Here is an 18413-nt window from a genome sequence, read left to right on the forward strand (position 1 = left end):
TACCATAAGCATTTTCCCATATCATCTGGAACTCTTGATTTTTTTTTTTTTTTTTTTTTTTGAGACAGGGTCTTGCTCTATTGCCCAGGCTGGAGTGCAGTAGTGAAATCTTGGCTCACTGCAGCCTCAACCTCCTGGGCTCCGTCAGTCCTCCCCCCTTCACCCTCCCGAGTAGCTGGGACTGCAAGCATGCACCACCATGCCCAGATAATTTTTGTATTTTTTTGTAGAAACAAGGTTTCTCTATGTTGCCCAGGCTGGCCTCAAACCCCTGAGCTCAAACGATATGCCCACCTTGGCCTCCCAAAATACTGGGATTACAGGTGTAAGCCACCGTACCTGGCCTCTCTTGATTATTTTAAGGCTATTTTAAGGCTATTTGCCTGATGTTTTCAACCACAAGGACCCATCATAATCACCTCACTCATTCCTGACTGTAGGACGTCGAGGTTGTTTCCAGCTTTTAATCGCCACACATTTATGTTGCAGTGGACATCTCTGTATATACCGCTTTGACTGTACTTCAACTTCTAAGTTTCAGAGGAAAAAATTGGAAATATGAACATTTTTAAGGAGAATGATAAATATCACCAAAGTATTAGCCAGAGTTTCTAAGGAAATGTTAACAAAAAAAAAGTGGATGAAAGGTAGGAACATGTTCAGGCTTTTGATAAATCTCACCAAGTGGCTTGCAGAAATACTTCATTAGTTTACACACCCCCAGTGCCTGTACAAATGCCATCTTCTTACACTTCGGCTAACAGAGAGCAGTATCTTTGCTGACTTAATGTTATTTCATTGTTATTTTGCATTTTTTTGGCCCTTAGAGAGATTAAACATTCTCCCCCACGCTACCCCCTGCCAGTATTTATTGGCCATTTGTATTTGTGTTTTATTGTTTATGTCCTTTACCCTTTTATTCATGGACACTTTTGTCTTTTTTAATCCATTTATGTAAGCGCTGTATAAATTAAGGATTCTAACCATCTGTTTGTGGCATTTCTGCAAGCTTTTTCCCGGTTGTTTGTGTTTTAATTTTGCTTGTATTTTTTCATCATACTGGAAGTTTTTATTTTTATGTGACACGGATCTGTCAAACATTTCCCTTGTGGTTTCTTCCACAGCTTTGAAGCTTAGAAAACCCTTCACCCTGTAAAGACCAGTTGGTGAAGGGAGTTCCCAGATGAAGGGTACAGTGGGGGCTTGGCCTGGAAGCTGAAGGAGACACTGTCTTGGGTGCATGGTGAGTTGAACCTGCACTTTCAGGCCCAGTCAGAGACACCTTTTAAGACTGTGCTGGCCGGGCGCGTTGGCTCACACCTGTAATCTCAGCACTTTGGGAGGCTGAAGCAGGCAGATCATGAGGTCAGGAGTTTGAGACCAGCCTGGCCAAAATAATGAAACCTCATCTCTACTAAATATGCAAAAATTAGCCAAGCATGGTAGCGCACACCTCTAGTCCCAGCTACTTGGGAGGCTGAGGAAGGAGAATTGTTTGAAAGAGGGAGGCGGAGGTTGCAGTGAGCCGAGATCATGCTGCTGCACTCCAGCCTGGGCAACAGAGTGAGACTCCATCTCAAAAAAAAAGAAAAAAAAAAAAGACTGTGCTGTGCGGTCACAAGCTGGGGGAGCCATTGAAGATTTTCAAGCAAGATGATGACATATTGGAGGGGCTGTGAAACACAGATTCTACATCTTCACAATGATACATGAATATTGGAATGTTTTATTTCTCATGAGAACTACAAGAGACTTCTTCCGGATAGCTATTATGGGAAATCCATAGTTCGTTGCTCAGTGAAACTGAAGAATTCTCCCATATTTCTTGAGTCTGCAGCTGTTTGGGGATTTCATTTTATTTTTTTAATAGAGACTGGGTCTTGCTATGTTGACTAGGTTGATCCTGAACTCCTGGGCTCAAGTGATTCTCCTCCCAAAGTGCTGGAATTACTGGCATGAGCCACCACGCCTGGCCTGTTTGGGGATTTGAGCGTGGTGTTTCTGCTTTGATTCTATTAGCACCAGGAAGGATCCTCCAGGCCCACACATTTCCTTCTTACTTTGCAGCAAATTGATACTTGCTGCTTATTTGCGCAGCATGTCGCCGACACCTTCTCTCCCTGCTTGGCGTGGCTTCCCTCCAAGCCTGGCTGACCCGCGAGCGTGGCGAGCAGACCTCCACTTTTCTGCCTTAAGGAAAATGGTAGTTTCAATAACTGATTCTGCTAGAGAAACCACACTTGAACGATTTGTAAAATCTCTGGGAAGGAGTTATTCTGGGTGGCCAATTTTTTGGTGAATAAAAAGCATATTCCTTCGAGGACTGTTTTACTTTTTAGTTAGACACTATGTGGAAATGTAGGATACCTCTAGGCCCTTTTTTCATTCTCTTTGACAAGAATACATTCTTCAGTGAAATACTTAAAAGCTACCCAGAATCCTTGCCTCCCAACACAAACATTCCATTTGTTTCCGTCCTGCCTTTCATGTGCGTGTACATTTCACGGGGCCACAAATCATTGTACGGACTCTCCTGTGGTTCTGCCGGTTTCACTGACCAAGGCCTGATTATGTGTGTCTAGATTTTATACAGTGAGCATAAAATGATAATTTAAGAACATTTTTATTGAAATACACAATATGTAAATATTTAAAACTTTTTTATTGGGATACACAATAGTCTATACACAGCACACACAGAATAGTGCACAAATCCTAAATGTACAGCTCTGTTAGAATTTTTTTTTTTTTTTGAGACCGAGTCTCACTCTGTCACCTAGGCTGGAGTGCATTGGCACGATCTTACCTCACCTCAACCTCCACCTCCTGGGTTCAAGCAATTCTCCTGCCTCAGCCTCCCGAGTAGCTGGGATTACAGGCGCCCACCACTACGCCCAGCTAATTTTTGTATTTTTAGTAGAGACGGGGTTTCACCATGTTGGCCAGGCTGGTCTCAAACTCCTGGCTTCAGGTGATCCTCCCAACTCGGCCGTCCAAAATCCTGGGGGCCTCTGCGCCCAGCCTTAGTTTGAATTTTTGAAAACTAAGCACACACATGTAACCAGTCCCCAGATCAAGAAAGAGGACATTACCAGCACCTGGAGGTCCTCTCCTTACCTGTTCCAGTCACCAACCTCCCCCTTCCAAAGGTAACAACTACCCTGATTTCTAACAGCATAAATTAATTTGGACTGTTTTTGACCTTTGATTAATAAAATCATAAAGTATGTTGCTATGGTTTGAATGTGTCCCCCAAATTTCCTGCATTAGAAACAATCCCCAAATTCATATGTTGATGGCATTTGGAGGGGAGGAAGGGGTTTTGGGAGGTAATTAGGATTAGATAAGGTCATCAGAGTGGGCCCCCCCATGGTTGGGACTGGTGGCCCATAAGAAGTGGAAGAGAGACCTGAACTGCCATGCTCTTGCCCTCTCACCATGTGATGCCCTCTGCCATGTTATAACGTAGCAAGAAGGTCCTCATCAGATGCAGCTCCTCAGCCTTGGACTTCTCTAACTATAAGATATAAAATTTTTTTCTTTTTCTTTCTTTCCTTTTTTTTTTTTTTTCTTTGAGACAGAGTCTGGTTCTGTCACCCAGGCTGGAGTGTGTGCAGTGCTGCAATCTCAGCTCACTGCAACTCTGCCTCCTGGGCTCAAACCATCCTCCCAACTCAGCCTTCTGAGTAGCTGGGACTACAGGCATGCACCATCACACCTGGCTAATTTTTAAATTTTTGGTAGAGATGGGGTTTCACCATGTTGCCCAGGTTGGTCTCAAATTCCTGAGCTCAAGCAATCCACCCATCTTGGCCTCCCAAATTTCTGGGATTACAGGTGTGAGCCACCATGCCCAGCACATTTCTTTTTATAATTACCCAATCTGTGGTATTCTGTTACAGCAACAGAAAATGAACCAAGACGTATGTTCTCTTTGGTATCTGCTGCTTTTATTCAACATTAGGTTTATAAAATTCATCAACATTGATGTGCATAGCAATAGTTCATTCACTCTCATTGCCTTATGGGACCCCGCTGTATGAGCCATCTATCTATTGTATCTATGGCTGTGGAACAAACTACCCCAAAACCTAGTGACTTAAAACAATAACATTTATCTTGCATAGTTTCTATGCATTAGGAATTTCAAGAGCAGCCTAGCTGGGCAGTTCTGGCTCAGGGCCTCTCATGTGGTTGCAGCTGAGATGTCCTTCAGGGCTGCAGACATCTGACTGGGGCTTGACCGTTGCTCGAGGGTCTCCATCTCCAACTTCATCACTCACATGGCGGTTGGCAGGAGGCCTTCCTTCCTCTCTGCAGGGGACTCTCCACAGTGTGGCTTGAGTTTTTTCATGATTTGACATGACACTGGCTTTCCCCAGAGTGAATGATCAAGAGACCAAGGCAGAAGCTGCAACATCTTCCGTGAGCTCTCATTGGAAGTCACTCATGGTTGCTTCCATCATATCCTGTTGGTCGCCATGTCAGCCCTATTCAGTGTGAGAGGGGACTTCACAAGGATGTGATTACCAGGAGGCAAGGATTTTGGGGGGCCTTTAGAGGCTGGTGACCACCATCTATTGTAAAAGATCACGTTTTATAGCATCTCCCCTCACAGTGTTGCATTGTAAATTTTTTGCAAATTTAATGAGTTGATTTTGTAGTAGATGAGTAAATTTTGTAGTTAATACTGATACGAACATACTTGTGCACACAGCTTCTTGTTTCTGAAGTAGTTCTTAGAAATCTGTCCCTGGGAATGGAACTCGTGAGTCAAAAGATCTCAACCCATTTGTGGCTATTTCTTCGGATTGTACCAATTTTCAGTGCTACTAGCAAGCCAATGGTAGACCAAGTCCACTTCAGCTCCATCTACATTAGACCTTAATGCCGCCAGACAGAGCAGGGTGCCAGAACATGAAAATGACGCTCTGTCATCAAAATAATGGCAAATAATAAGCACCAGGCACTGTTCTGGGCTTCAATACCATGCTGCCTGGAGGAGACCTTCCATAGTGAAGACTGGAGGCTCTTTTCTGGGAGGCCCTGGATAACAGGTCCTCTGCTGGATGGTTTTAAACCAAACTGTTTTTTTGTTTGATTGTTTGTTTGCTTTCTGAGATGGAGTCTTGCTCTGTCACCCAGGCTAGAGTGCAGTGGTGTGATCTTAGCTCACTGCAACCTCTGCCTCCCATGTTCAAGCGATTCTCCTGCCTCAGTCTCCTGAGTAGCTGGGATTACAGGCACCTGCCACCACGCCTGGCTAATTTTTATATTTTCAGTAGAGATGGGGTTTCACCATGTTGGCCAGGCTGGTCTCAAACTCCTGACCTCAAGTGATCCTCCCGCCTCGGCCTCCCAGAGGGCTGGGATTATAGGCATGAGCCACCGTGCCCGGCCCAAACTGGTTTTGAAATTGCGTTTTCTACCACCTCTTGGAAAGGCAGCATGGGGAGGTGGAGAGGACAGCGGCCTTGTAAGAAGACAGTCTGGTTCAAATTTTAGCTCTACCATGTGCTGGCTGGGTGAACTTGGGCAAGCTGCTTTCCTTCTTGTGCCTCAGTATCCCCATTGGTAAACAGAGATCACAGCACCAACCTCCCAGGGTAGCTGGGAGGATTGAAGAGGCCGCGATGCCGCCTTCCCGGCACCACAGTTCCTGCAGTGCAGGCGCCCAGCAAATGCTGGTTTTCCACCTCTCTGCCTCTCCCATTTCCCCTTCTTGGTTCGCACATTTGACACTTACTGGCTGAAATACTTCCTGTGATATGTCCTTGGTTTCTCCTGAAGAAAAAAAAGTCCAATCTGTTTTTTTTTTTTCTAATTATAATAGCGATGCACGTTCACCGCTGAAAAATTTGGAAAGTACAAAGAAGGAAATAAAAATCACCCGCAATTTCACACCCCAGATCTGTGACTGTGAACATTTGGGTGTGTCTCCTCCTGGGTGTCGGACCACTTCTTATTCTCAGAATTCTATGGGGTGGCTCCGGGGCAGTGTGACACCTCTGTCCAGGCCCCAGCGAGGGGTAGAGTGAGTGCTGGACAGGGGTCCCCAAACGGGCCACTTTTGCTGCATGTGTGGAGACAGATAGGACTTCAAGACTCAGTCCTCGCCACCTGCAGAAGGTAAGACCAGGAGCCTTGAGGGGGACAGTTCTGCCCTGCATTTGCCCCCTTTCCCCGGCAAGTCCCTGGCCTTAGGGAGTGGCCATCCCAAACTCATCCGGACTTTGGCCATTTCTTGTTTCTGGGCTTCAGTGTCCTTATCTGTTAAGTGAGCAGCTGGGCCCCTTGACTTCCAGGTCTAACACTGTGTGTCATGAGAGGCGTCCGTGGAAGAGAAGGTGCTTTGCTGCTGGTGGGACCTCATGCATGTGTAGGTGTTTATTTCTCTGGGGTCCTCTCCTTCTGCTAAGAAGAGAAGAGGACAAACCTCACGCCAGCCTTCAATTGCCTTCGCCCCTGAACTGTGTCTTGTCAGCCTCCTCAGCTGCTCTTTGAGTACTTGAGTGAGGCAAGGACCTGCTGGGGGAGCTGTTGTGAGGATCCAATGAAACAAGGCCTCTGAGGCAACAGAATAGAGTTGTAATGGCACTATCAGTAGAGAGGGACTGTCCAGGTTTAAATCCCTGGCTGTGTGACCTTGAGCAAGTTACTCAACTACTCTGTGCCTCAGTTTTTTCTTTTTTTTTTTTTCCTTTCCTTTCCTTTTATTTTTTCTTTCTTTCTTTCTTTTTTTTTTTTTTTTTTTTTTGAGACAAGGTCTTGCTCTATTGCCCAGGCTGGAGTACAGTGGCCCCATCATGGCTCACAGCAGCCTTGACCTCCTGGGCTCAATCGATCCTCCCACCTCAGCCTCCCAAGTAGCTGGGACTACAGGTGAGTGCTACCACAACTGGCTAATTTTCAAATATTTTGTAGATACGGGATCTCAATATGTTGTCCAAGTTGGTCTCCAACTCCTGGTCTCAAATGATCCTCCCAAAGCAATGGGATTACAGGAGTGAGCCAGCATGCCCGGCCATCCCTTATCTTTAACCTGGGAAAGATGATCATAACATCAAATAAATTGTGTGCAGATTCAATGAGTTAATATGTGTGAAGCCCTTAGAACAGTGCTTGGCACATAGTAGGTGCTATGTGAGTACTAGATATCATTACAGTGCCTGAAATGTAATAAGTGCTCTGAGATGTGTGCTATTAGAATTGTAAAGAGATTCCAAAAATGGAGGCATGTTTGACATGAAAAGTGAAAGTTTCTCCTGCCCCACTTAATCTCACTCTCCAGAAGAAACCACTGTGAACAGTTCCTTCCCTAGGCCACCTTCCAGATCATTCTTTAGAAATACATCATGATTATGCATATAGTGTTTTCTTTTTACTTTTCTTTAGGTTTTTGTTTGTTTGTTTGTTTGTTTTTTGAGACAGGATCTTGCTCTGTCACCCAGGTTGGAGCACAGTGGTGCGATCATGGCTCACTGCAACCTCCACCTCCTAGGCTCAGGTGATCCTCCCACCTTGGCCTCCCAAAGTGCTGGGATTACAGGCACGAGCCACCACACCTGGCCCATGTTTTCTTTTTAAACCATCACATCATACAGAGTGTTTGCAAGTTGCTATTTTCTTCACAGTATCACGGACATACCTGCATGTCGGGATGTACTAACACATAGCTGTGAAATTTTGCCACCAATTTCCTATTGATGGACAGACAGTTGGACTTGTCTACTTTTTCTCCTTTTTTTAATTATACAAAATAAGCAAGGAACATCTTTCTGTAGAGCTTCACACTCCAAAAGGAGTATCCCTGAGGTTGAGGAGATGAGGGGGACATGAGCAGGACAACGTCACCTGCTCCAGGAGGCACAATCAGAGGCAGTGAATGGCCCACCCTTCTGAGTGGCTCTAATGTGTCACCCTGCGAGGACCCCTGCCCCCACACCCAAAGGAGACAGGGGTGTGCCCAGGGGCATTCCTCTTGGAGGTAAAGACAGAAGTGCAGGGTCGGGAGGGAACAAGAGAACTGAGGTGACCCTGGAGGCTATTTCTCACCTGAAATTATGTAGACATTTTCATTATGAAAATTTTCAAACATACAGAAAAGGTGCAGGAGTCATCTAACAAATCTCCATACAAGTATCCACGCAGCCACCAACCAGATGTAATAGCTGCTGACACTTGCTGTATTTGTTTTATCTGTCTATTCCAAAACATTTCAAAGTAAGCTGTAAACATTTTGACATTTCACTAATTCAACATTGTGTCACCCAGGCTGGGGTGAAGTGGCACAATCTCGGCTCACTGCAGCCTTGACTTCCTAGGATTAGGTGATTCTCCCACTTCAGCCTCCCAACTTGATGGGACCTCAGGTGCACGCCATAATGCCGGCTGCCCAGCTAATTTTAATTAATACACACACACACACACACACATATTTATTTATTTATTTATTTATTTATTTATTTATTTATAGAGATGAGGTTTCACCATGTTGCCCAGGCTGGCCTTGAACTCCGGGGCTCAAGCAATCCTCCTGCCTCAGCCTCCCAAAGTGCTGAGATTACAGACGTGAACCAATGTGCCTGGCCCATAATATTTTTTTAGTTTTGCTCTAACACCCAGGCTGGAGCGCAGTGGCATGATCTTGGCTTACTGCAACCTCTACCTTACGGGTTCAAGTGATTTTTGAGCCTCAGCCTCCCTAGATGGGACCAAAGATACATGCCACCATGCCCAGCTAATTTTTTGTATTTTTAGTAGAGACGGGGTTTTGTCATGTTGACCAGGCTGGTCTCAAGCTCCTGGCCTCAAGCAATCCTCCTGCCTCGACCTCCCAAAGTGCTGGGATTACAGGCATGAGTCACTGTAACCGGCCCCATAATCTAATATCTAAAAAAACTACCAATCATTTCCTAATGTCATCTAATAATAAATAGATTTTCAAGCTTCTCAAGTTGTCCTCCTTCTCTCCCTCACATGCACACTCTCTCTATATAATTATATTGTAAAAATAAAAAATATATTTATATATGTGCATTTCTTTTTTTTTTTTTTTAGACGGAGATTCATTCTTGTCGCCCAGGCTGGAGTGCAGTGGCGCGATCTCGGCTCACTGCAACCTCTGCCTCCTGGGTTCAAGCGATTCTCCTGCCTCAGCCTCCCAAGTAGCTGGAATTACAGGCGCCCACCACCACACCCAGCAAATTTTTGTATTTTTAGTAGATACGGGGTTTTGTCATGTTGGCCAGGCTGGTCGTGAACTCCTGAGCTCAAGTGATCTACCCGCCTCGGCCTCCCAAAGTGCTGGGATTACAGGCGTAAGAGACTGCACCCAGCTTATATATGCATTTCTATATATGCAAATTAAAAACCAGCTTCTAGTAGAATGCCATTCTCTTCTCTTCCACCCACCTGAAACTTCTTCCTCTCCCACCTAGGCCTGGGCCTGTAAACCCCATCAGGGACAGTGGCGATGTTGGGCAGAGACATAAAGAATCTGCAGCCTTCGAGGACCAGGTGGAGGCATGGGGCGGGGTTGGGCAGTTTCCTGTCGGGGAGGTACTGAGAGCCAGATGCTGGCCACCACCTTCTCAGGGTGGCTGAGCTGGGGCTCGAGACAGAACTTGGCAAACACTGACCGTGGTTCTGGGACTGGCGGAGGCTGGGGCAAGCCCAGCCCGGGCTTCACAGCAGCCGTCACTGCTTGCGAGGTGCTCCTGGGCAGATGAGAAAACGTGCTCCTTGCAGAACTCCTCTTATGCCAACATACATGGCTCAGCGGTGGAGTCACGTTGGATTTTGGCCCCAATTCCGGTGCTAGCACTTTGTGCAGTGCACAAGCTATACACCCATATGTGGCAACCCTGACCGGCAGGGGTGACTTGGCTAGCAAGGCGGAGCAGACAGACTCCAGCCTGAAAGCAGGCAAGGTGGTCGTTCACAGCGGACTCTCTCTGTCCCCACAGCAACAGCATGATAAGAGCTGCCATTTATTAGGCATTTAGTCTGTGTGAAGCCCTGGGTTGAGTTAGCTCATGTTTTCTTCGTGACCGAGTAGGTGCCAGTGTTATCTTTACTTTAGGGACGAGCGCACAGGCTCTGAGAGGTTCAGTCATTTGCTTAAGGCTGTACACATCATAAGGCTTCATCCTGGGTCTGTTGGCTCTTGGGGCTGTGTCAGAAGAAGGGTGTCTCACATGGCTATTGTTAGGGGGCGTCCCGGAGTCCTGTTCGGGCCCAGGGCATTGAGGATTCTGTTTGTTAGGTCTGCGGTGGGATCTCAGCAGCCAGATATGCCCCATACCCTGTTCAGAACCACTGGGCGTCCAGAGCACGTGGAAATTCAGGCACACGGAAACCCAGCCCTCTCTGGGACACTGTAGGTGACACTGCTGACCTTTAGGTCCCCAAGAGCAGAAATCATGACACCTGGAAGTGCAAAAGGAGATCAGGAAGGTGCCAGAACTTCTGTGGTATCGCTCCCCCTCCCATACGCAGAGTATGGTCGGCGGGGAAGGACGTGAGGTTGGCATGACCCACATGGGCACCCGGCCATCCTGGCTACCCCGGCCAGACAAGCGACCTTGCATAGGCTAGAGAATATGACTTGTCCTGGACTCCTCCAGAAAATGGTGGGGGGATGCTGCTGGCTCCTCCTACCCTGGCCGCGGCCATCAGTTTGGTCCTGGGAAGGCTGGTGGCAGCTTCAAAGCTGGTGGCCAACATCTGGGGCTCTTGAAGCCTGCAGCTCACATTCCTTAAAGGAGAAGGTGGGAGTGGACCGGGGGCAGATTCTGGGGCTACCAGGCCCGTCACTCTCCCCACAGGCCCCTCCTTCAGACAACAGAGAGTTTACCGCATCCCTGTCCTAGACGGTGGCCGCAGGCTCTCAGACGGGCACTCCCTTCTGGCAGAAGCTGCTGTTAGCTTTGCCACACTCCCCACAGAGGCACCGCAGTTTGGAGAGGTGCTTAGGAGGGGCGAGCTACGGCCTTGAATCGTTTCAAGGCTGCACTCGCCAGTCTTCTTTGCTGTATTATTCTCCAGAACAAGCTCCTCCCTGTGGCCTGCATGAAAACTCGGTGGCTGTTTCTCCACTGTCAGAAAAGGTGACGTTTTTGTACACCTGGACCTAGAAGAAATCAGGCTGGGCTTAAAGAAGATCAGGCAGCAGACCAAAAGACACTTAAACTGTGACTCCTTTTGGTTTGTTTGTTTTGCAGGGAGAGGCAATTAGTGGAAATTCTTGGCCGCTTCTGAGCTGCTGATGGCAGTGTCTTGAGGGAGAGGCGCTGGGAGGAGAGGCAGCCGCGGGGAGGGGCCGTGTGGGTAGGGACAGTCAGTAGCATTCGAATGAGCCTTAAATCTATGGGAGATGGGACCCCCCAGTGTCTCAGAGACTGCGAGAAATTGAGCCCTGGAGTAGTCAGTGGTGTGCTGAGGGCTGACAGCTGTGGGCAAAGCTTCCCTGCATGACTGAGTGGACACCAGACATCTTTCTGGGCCAACTCTGTCTCCTCCTGGCTCCCAAACCCGCATTTCCCTTTCCCAGGCTCAGTGGTAGGTGTGCTTACCCCATCCTCGTGGGGCCCAGGGGGTCCACATCCAGTTTTCCTTCCTGACTGCCAGTATCGGTGACCTGTAGTGACTTCAGGCCCCATGCCAGGGGCACAGGCTGCCCACCAGCTCCTGCCTCACCCTACAGTGGACCCACTTCCAGTCCCTCGAGGTGGGCCTGGGTGTCTGATGAGCTGGCTGACCTGGACACTGTTCCCTGGGCTCTCCCTCCCTGGCCACCCTCCTCCTGCATCTTCTGTCCATCTTTTCTTCTCTCCACCCTTCCCACAGGCCCTCCCAAGGTCCCTACCTAGGATGAGCACAGTGATGCTGAAAAGAAAACCTTCCATTCCTGGAGGCGCTGAACCAGGCCCTGCACTAGGAGCTTGGCGCGCGGCCGGACCCAGGCGCCCAGTGTCACCCCGTGTGCCAGAAACTGCCTCCTGCTGCCACCCAAGGGGCAGGGGCTGGCAATTGTGGAAAACACAGGAGTCACAGTCCACCTTTCGGAGGTTGGCCAAGATGTCTCCAGAGGAAAAGACATTAAAGAGGTTGGCCAAGATTCCTCCAGAGGAAAAGACATTAAAGAGGTTGGCCAAGATTCCTCCAGAGGAGAAGACATTAAAGAGGTGTGTGTGTGTGTAAATGAGTGCGTGTGCGTGTGCATGTGAGTGTGTATGTGTGAGACCACACTTGTACCAGGCCTAACTTCTAGGCCCCATGTGAGGGGATGGTGGGGTACAAGACAGTGAGGCCCAGGTGCTCCCTGAGGGTGACCATGATGCTGGGGAGCCCACAGGAGTGGAGCTCAGCTCCTGCCAGTGGCAGTGTCTCCCTGCTGCCCCTGGCCTCGGCCATGAAGGTTCTCCACACAGGGCTCTTCTTGGGACAGCTGGGATTGTTGTTGTCATTGTTGTTATTTTATTTATTTTTTTCAAGGCAGAGTCCCGCTCTGTCACCCAGGCTGGAGTGCAGTGGCGCAATCTCAGCTCACTGCAACCTCTGCCTCTTCAATTCAAGCGATTCTCTTGCCTCAGCTTCCTGAGTAGCTGGGATTAGAGGCACACACCACCCCGCCCAGCTAATTGTTTTGTATTTTTAGTAGAGATGGGGTTTTGCCATGTTGGTCAAGCTGGTCTCGAAATCCTGACCTCAGGTTATCCTCCTGCCTTGGCCTCCCAAAGTGCTGAGATTACAGGCGTGAGCCACCGCACCCGGCCCAGCTGGCGTTTTTAACCTCGTAGGTTATGTGTTCTCTTCCCCACCTCTGTTCTCCTCAGAACAGCTCCGTGTGTGTGCATATGTTTGAGCGTGCGTGTGCATGCATGTGTGTATACATGTGTGCATGTGTGTGTATGCGTGTCTGCATGTGTGTGCGTGTGTGCATGTGCGTGCATGTGTGTGTATGTGTGAGCAAGCACACATGAGTTTTCATCCATGTTGATCCGATTTCCCTGTTTCCCCTGACTCCCACCCCTAGACTTTCTGGAGTCGTCCTCGTTAGCAGCCCTCATGATTCATTGTGGGAGGGGGATTTAAAGCTGCTCATAAAACACCACTTCACTTTCTGTTTTCTTTTCTCCCCTTTCTTTCTCGGCCCCTTGGCTCTATAGCCTGGCTTTTTCCCCTGTGCTTGGCCAGATATGTAAAATAAACACATCCACTGTGCAGGAGGAAATGACCTTTGGGTTTTGGGGGCTCTCTTAATGAGGCCTCAGCACTGCTGACAGTTCCACGCTTCCCTTTTTTACCCTTTGACGTTCTGAGACTTTGCCCAGGAGCTGGCGTCTCAGATTTCAGGTGTCCTGGGCCGCCCAGTAAAGCCGTTCAGCAAGGCCAGGGCACAGCCCACACCCAGTTTCTCACCTGGCTTTACCCTGAGTGTACCTCTGTCTAGGGATCCCACTGGTTTTGTTTTTTTTATTTCTTTTTAGTAACAAAAGAAATCATGTTTGCTTGTCTCTAAAACTATAAGCAGCATAGAAATGAAGATCCCAGCCAGGGCGCAGTGGCTCATGCCTGTAATCCCAGCACTTTGGAGGCTGAGACAGGCAGATCACCTGAGGTCAAGAGTTGGAGACCAGCCTGGCCATCATGGCAAAACCCTGTCTCTACTAAAAATACAAAAATTAGGAGGGCATGGTGGCTCATGCCTGTAATCCCAGCTACTTGGGAAGCAGAGTAGGAGAATCACTTGAACCTGGGAGGTGGAGGTTGCAATGAGCCGAGATCGTGCCACTGCACTCCAGCCTGGGCGACAGAGCAATCTCCATCTCAAGAAAAAAAAAAAAGAAAAGAAAAGAAATGAAGATTCTTTCTCCCCTTTCCTCCCAGTGCTCTCCCCACAGGAACGAGACCTGCGTGGTGTGGGGAGCAGCTGAAGACTTCTCATCTGCCTTTGTGAATGCCAATTGTACACAGCCACTACTGGAATCTTACTCATCGCAGCAGGAGGCCTGGCTTCCGGCACAGGTGGAATGAATGAAGGAAGGAACGGATGAATGAAAACAATGAAGCTGTACAGAGCAGTCTGTCTCCGAGTGGGCAGTGGATCCTGGAAAACACATCTTCAGCCATCCAGAGTGGGAAGATCTGGATTTGGGATGTAGCCGCTTCCTCCCTGTGTGACCTTTGGCAGATGTCATTTACTTTTTGGAACTTCAGTTTTTCCATCCGCAAAAAGGGGATGCTGCCTGCCCAGTTCATGTCACAGACCTGTGAAGGTCAAAACAGAAGGCAGGAGGGAGCATATTCCATAAAAGGTACAGCAGCCGGGCAGAGTGGCCCATGCCTGGAATCCCAGCCAAGGCAGGAGGATTGCTGGAGACCAGAAGTTTGAGACAAGTATGGGCAAAATAGCAATACCTCATCTCTAAAAAAAATTATTTAAAAAATCAGCTGGGGCTGGGTGCGGTGGCTCACCTGTAATCCCAGTACTTTGGGAGGCCAAGGCAGGCGGATCACTTGAGGCCAGGAGTTCAAGCCCAGCCTAGCCAACATGATGAAACCCCATCTCTCCTAAAAATAGAAAAATTAGCCAGGTGTAGTGGTGCACACCTGTAGTACCACTGCACTCCAGCCTGGGTGACAAAGCGAGACTCTGTCTCAACAAACAAACAAACAAACAAACAAAAAACCAGCGGAGCATGGTGGCACACACTGTAGTCCCAGATACTTGGGTGGCTGAGTGGGGAGGATGGCTTGAGCCCAGGAGGTCCAGGCTGCAGTGAACCACGATCGCACCACTGCACTCCGGCCTGGGCCACAGAGTGAGACTCTGTCTCTACAAAAGAAAATAAGAAAGGAAGGAAGGAAGGAAAGAAAAAAAAAATAAATAAAAATGAAAGATAAAGCATAGGGACGTCTCTGAGACAAAGAGCTGAGTGGAAGAATCAAGTTAGGACTCAGCAGCGCAGGATGGCGAGGCTTATAATTTTAATCCCCTCCTCGATTTCTTTCGATGAGGCAAAAAACAGTCTTGGAAATTACTCACCAAACCAGCAGTGGGTGCCAGGAGCTCATTCACTTTGTGTGTCATTATAATTTTTTGTAACTAGAATGGATGGAGCAACCACTTTGGTAGTGAAAATATTTTAATATCCGCATGTGCATAAAGTGACACGAATAACAGTTCCCGTTTACTGGGCTCTGATGCTGTAGCAGGCTGTGGGGATGGCTACTGTGCTCATTTTACAGACAAGGAAACTGAAACCCAGGCAGGCGAAGTGGCTTGCCCAGGCTCACACAGCCAGAACGGGATGAAGCAGGTTCTGACCTCCAAGCAAGACTGACTCCAGTGGGGAATTATGGGTTCCCAAATGACACTGATCACAGCAACAACGGGCAGGACAGGACAGGTGACTCAGAGCAGACTCCTCATGCAAGGGGAGATGTTGCCCAGTGCCGAGGGCACCGGGGCAGGGTTCATGCCTTCCCCTGGGAGAGCAAGAGGTTCAGAGTCAGAAAGACTGGGGCTTGTGGTCCCAGCTCTGCCACTTTCTGGTTGTGTAACTTCTGCCAAATCCCTTCACCCCTCCGAGCCTCAATGTGCTCATATGCAAAAGGGGCGAGTAACCACCTACCTTGCAGGCTTGTGTGGACTGAGTGTGTTACGGCCATGAAAACACCATGTGCTCTATAAGGTGCGCTTTATTCATTCCTGAAGTGAGCATTTATCATGCACCCACGTTCATGCCAAGCCCTTCTCTGGGATCTGGGGAGACAGCAGCAAACACAGCAGATGAGGTCCTGGTCCCTGGAGTTACTTTCAAGTGGTTGGAGCCAGATAATCAACCGAGAAAGCCTGACACAGTTCAGACGGCGTTGAGTGCCGTGGAGAACCCACGCCGGACAGCGTGACGGAGCGGCCTCGGGGCTGGGCTACTGAGCAAGGGAGGGGCCTCTCTGACTTTGTGATGTCTGCACAGAGGCTGAGCGGTGTGGTGCAGGTCAGTGATGGAAAGCTGTTTATGGGAAGTGTCAAGGGATAGCCCCAAGGAAGGGAGGAGCTACAGCGGGTGAGGAACAGAAGGCTAGGGCAGGGAGAATGGGCAAGGGGCCCACCGGGCAGTGCCTGTGCACTAGAGGTGGTCTCTAGAGGTGGGAATGTCTTTGTGGACACGTGTCCTTTGCTTAGGACAGCGGAGAGAGGCTTCCAGGTCTGGGTGGGTGAGAAAGAGGGAGGAGCTGTCAGGCAGAACCATGGAGGTAGGTGGTAGGAGGTAGGAGGTAGGTGGGAGGGTGAGGCACCTGCTCTGAGCCCCTTCTCCCTGGGCAGGAATGGGGCATGTGGGCAGAGCAGAGGGAAGCAGCGGTGCAGGAATGGCCCTGACCTGCACAGATGTGGGAGGAGGTCCGCACGCCCAGAGAGGGGCTGAGATCATACCACCAGGGACCTGGTGTTGGTTCCACAAGAGGCTCAGGGACACACTTCCAGAATTTTGAGAGCACCCCTAGCAGAGGCAGGGACTTGGACTGGTTGACCTGGCTTTCCCACACCCTCAAAACCTCAAAATGTCCAATGTCCATCCACTGATCATGATGGGTCTTTCTAGAATGTCATTTTCTCCCCAGTGCAGTTGGTGAGAGGCATTCTCACCTCCTCCCTGGAGAGTGGGGTTCCTCCTTACCATTGCCTGGTGGTTGAGCTCTAGTCCTTCTGTCTGGCTGGCCGTGTAGCCTTGGGCAAGCCGCTCCATCTCTCTGTGCCTCTGTTGCCTGGGCTGTAAACAGAAGTGAGCTAAAGGCAGGCAGACCGAGGTCTGTGACCACGTAATAACTCATACTCAGTTCCAGAAATATTCACCCACAGAAGTGTCTGGGACAAGCCTGGAAGGCTGATCACACCAGCCCTCCGGGTGCTGCTCGTGGCTGAGAGAACAGAAGGGAGCCCTGTCCACCATGGGAAGCTGCTGTTTCCATCACCAGCCTGGGCTGTGGTGCAGAAAGAAGGAAGGGGAGTCTGGGTGGGGCGAGGGAGGCAGCAAAGGGCCTGGACCTTCGTGGGAGCACGGACACACAGGACAGCCATTGTCGAGCTTGGACTGACCCTACTTGGTGACGTTAAGTTCTCAAGCTCCAAGAAACAGCATCTGAGTTCTTGAGCTCAATCTTCCCACCAAAGAAAATCATACACAAGTCCCGGCGCAGGGGCTTCACAGCTCAAAGCATGGTCTGTGTCCACATTTCCTGTGGTGGGTCAGGCCCCACTGCAGTCCTGAGCCAGCTCTGCATTCCCACCAGAGCCCCAGGAGATCAGATGCGGGGTGAACTCTGAGAAGCGCTGCTCTAGGGCACAGGTAGGCTCATTGCAGCCTTGTCCCCAGCGGGAAAACGCGGTGGACCTGCAGCAGTCAGAGGCAAGGCACACTGCAAGCTCCAGGAACAGGCAGGACCCGAGAAACGTAGGTGGGTGGAAGCAGGAAGAAGGAGAACCCAGCGCAAAACTGATGATGCATATTAAAAACATGCACATGGCGGCTGGGCGTGGTGGCTCACGCCTGTAATCCCAGGACTTTGGGAGGCCGAGATGGGTGGATCATGAGGTCAGGATTTCGAGACCAGCCTGGCCAAGATGGTGAAACCCCATCTCTACTAAAAATTCAAAAAAATTAGCCGGGCGCGGTGGTGGGCATAGGGAGACTGAGGCAGGAGAATCACTTGAGCCCAGGAGGTGGAGGTTGCAGTGAGCTGAGATTGCACCATTGTACTCCAGCCTGGGAGACAGAGCAAGACTCAGTCTCAAACAAAACAAAACAAAACAAAACAAAAAAACATGCACATGGCAAAATGACATAAAGGAGAGTGTTGGGATGGTGGGAGCCGTATTGTGTCAATGTGAACTCTCCTGAACGTGGTTATTGTTCCTGGTTATGTAAGAGCAGCTCCTTGTTCTCAGGAGGCCCACGGGGAATGGTCCTGACATGTGTAGGTACTTCTATATGGCTCAGCAAACAAAATTTATGCAGATACTCAGAGAGAACCCCTGGAGCAAAATGTTGACAATCTGTGAGCCTAGGTAAAGGGGATATGGGAGGTTTGTTGTTGTTGTTTTTTGTTTTTTGAGACGGAGTCTCGATCTGTCACTGAGGCTGGAGTGCAGTGGTACAATCTCTGCTCGCTGCAACCTCTGCCTCTCAGGTTCAAGTAATTCTCGTGCCTCAACCTCCTGAGCATCTGGGACTACAGGTGCACGCCACTACACCTGGCTAATTTTTGTATTTTTAGTAGAGACGGGGTTTTGCTGTGTTGGCTAGGTTGGTCTTAAACTCCTGACCTCAAGTGATCCTCCTGCTTCGGCCTCCCAAAGTGCTGGGATTACAGGTGTGAGCCACTGTGCCTGGCTAATTTTTATA

General features: G+C 49.2%; 1 long non-coding RNA gene across 1 annotated transcript, besides 2 other annotated features; it reads left to right on the forward strand.

Moving 5' to 3' along the window:
- The first annotated feature begins 5744 nt into the window (after positions 1-5744).
- Positions 5745-14401, forward strand: LOC105376876 (uncharacterized). Its single transcript, XR_947082.3, has 3 exons — positions 5745-6129; positions 11851-12188; positions 13894-14401. It is a non-coding gene; the product is annotated as an uncharacterized LOC105376876 (long non-coding RNA).
- Positions 14958-16157: an enhancer, noted in NCBI's record as "BRD4-independent group 4 enhancer chr1:25192786-25193985 (GRCh37/hg19 assembly coordinates)". NCBI's record gives its function as "activates an origin of replication core promoter dependent on BRD2, P300/CBP, MED14 and CDK7 cofactors, and independent of BRD4, by STARR-seq in HCT116 cells {active_cell/tissue: HCT116}" and the evidence as "EXISTENCE:reporter gene assay evidence [ECO:0000049][PMID:35650434]".
- Positions 17852-18052: a silencer, noted in NCBI's record as "peak122 fragment used in MPRA reporter construct". NCBI's record gives its function as "represses an SCP1 promoter by STARR-seq MPRAs in K562 erythroleukemia cells {active_cell/tissue: K562}" and the evidence as "EXISTENCE:reporter gene assay evidence [ECO:0000049][PMID:32103011]".

The sequence above is a fragment of the Homo sapiens genome, chromosome 1 (assembly GCF_000001405.40).
Source record: "Homo sapiens chromosome 1, GRCh38.p14 Primary Assembly".
NCBI classification, from domain to species: Eukaryota; Metazoa; Chordata; class Mammalia; order Primates; family Hominidae; genus Homo; species Homo sapiens.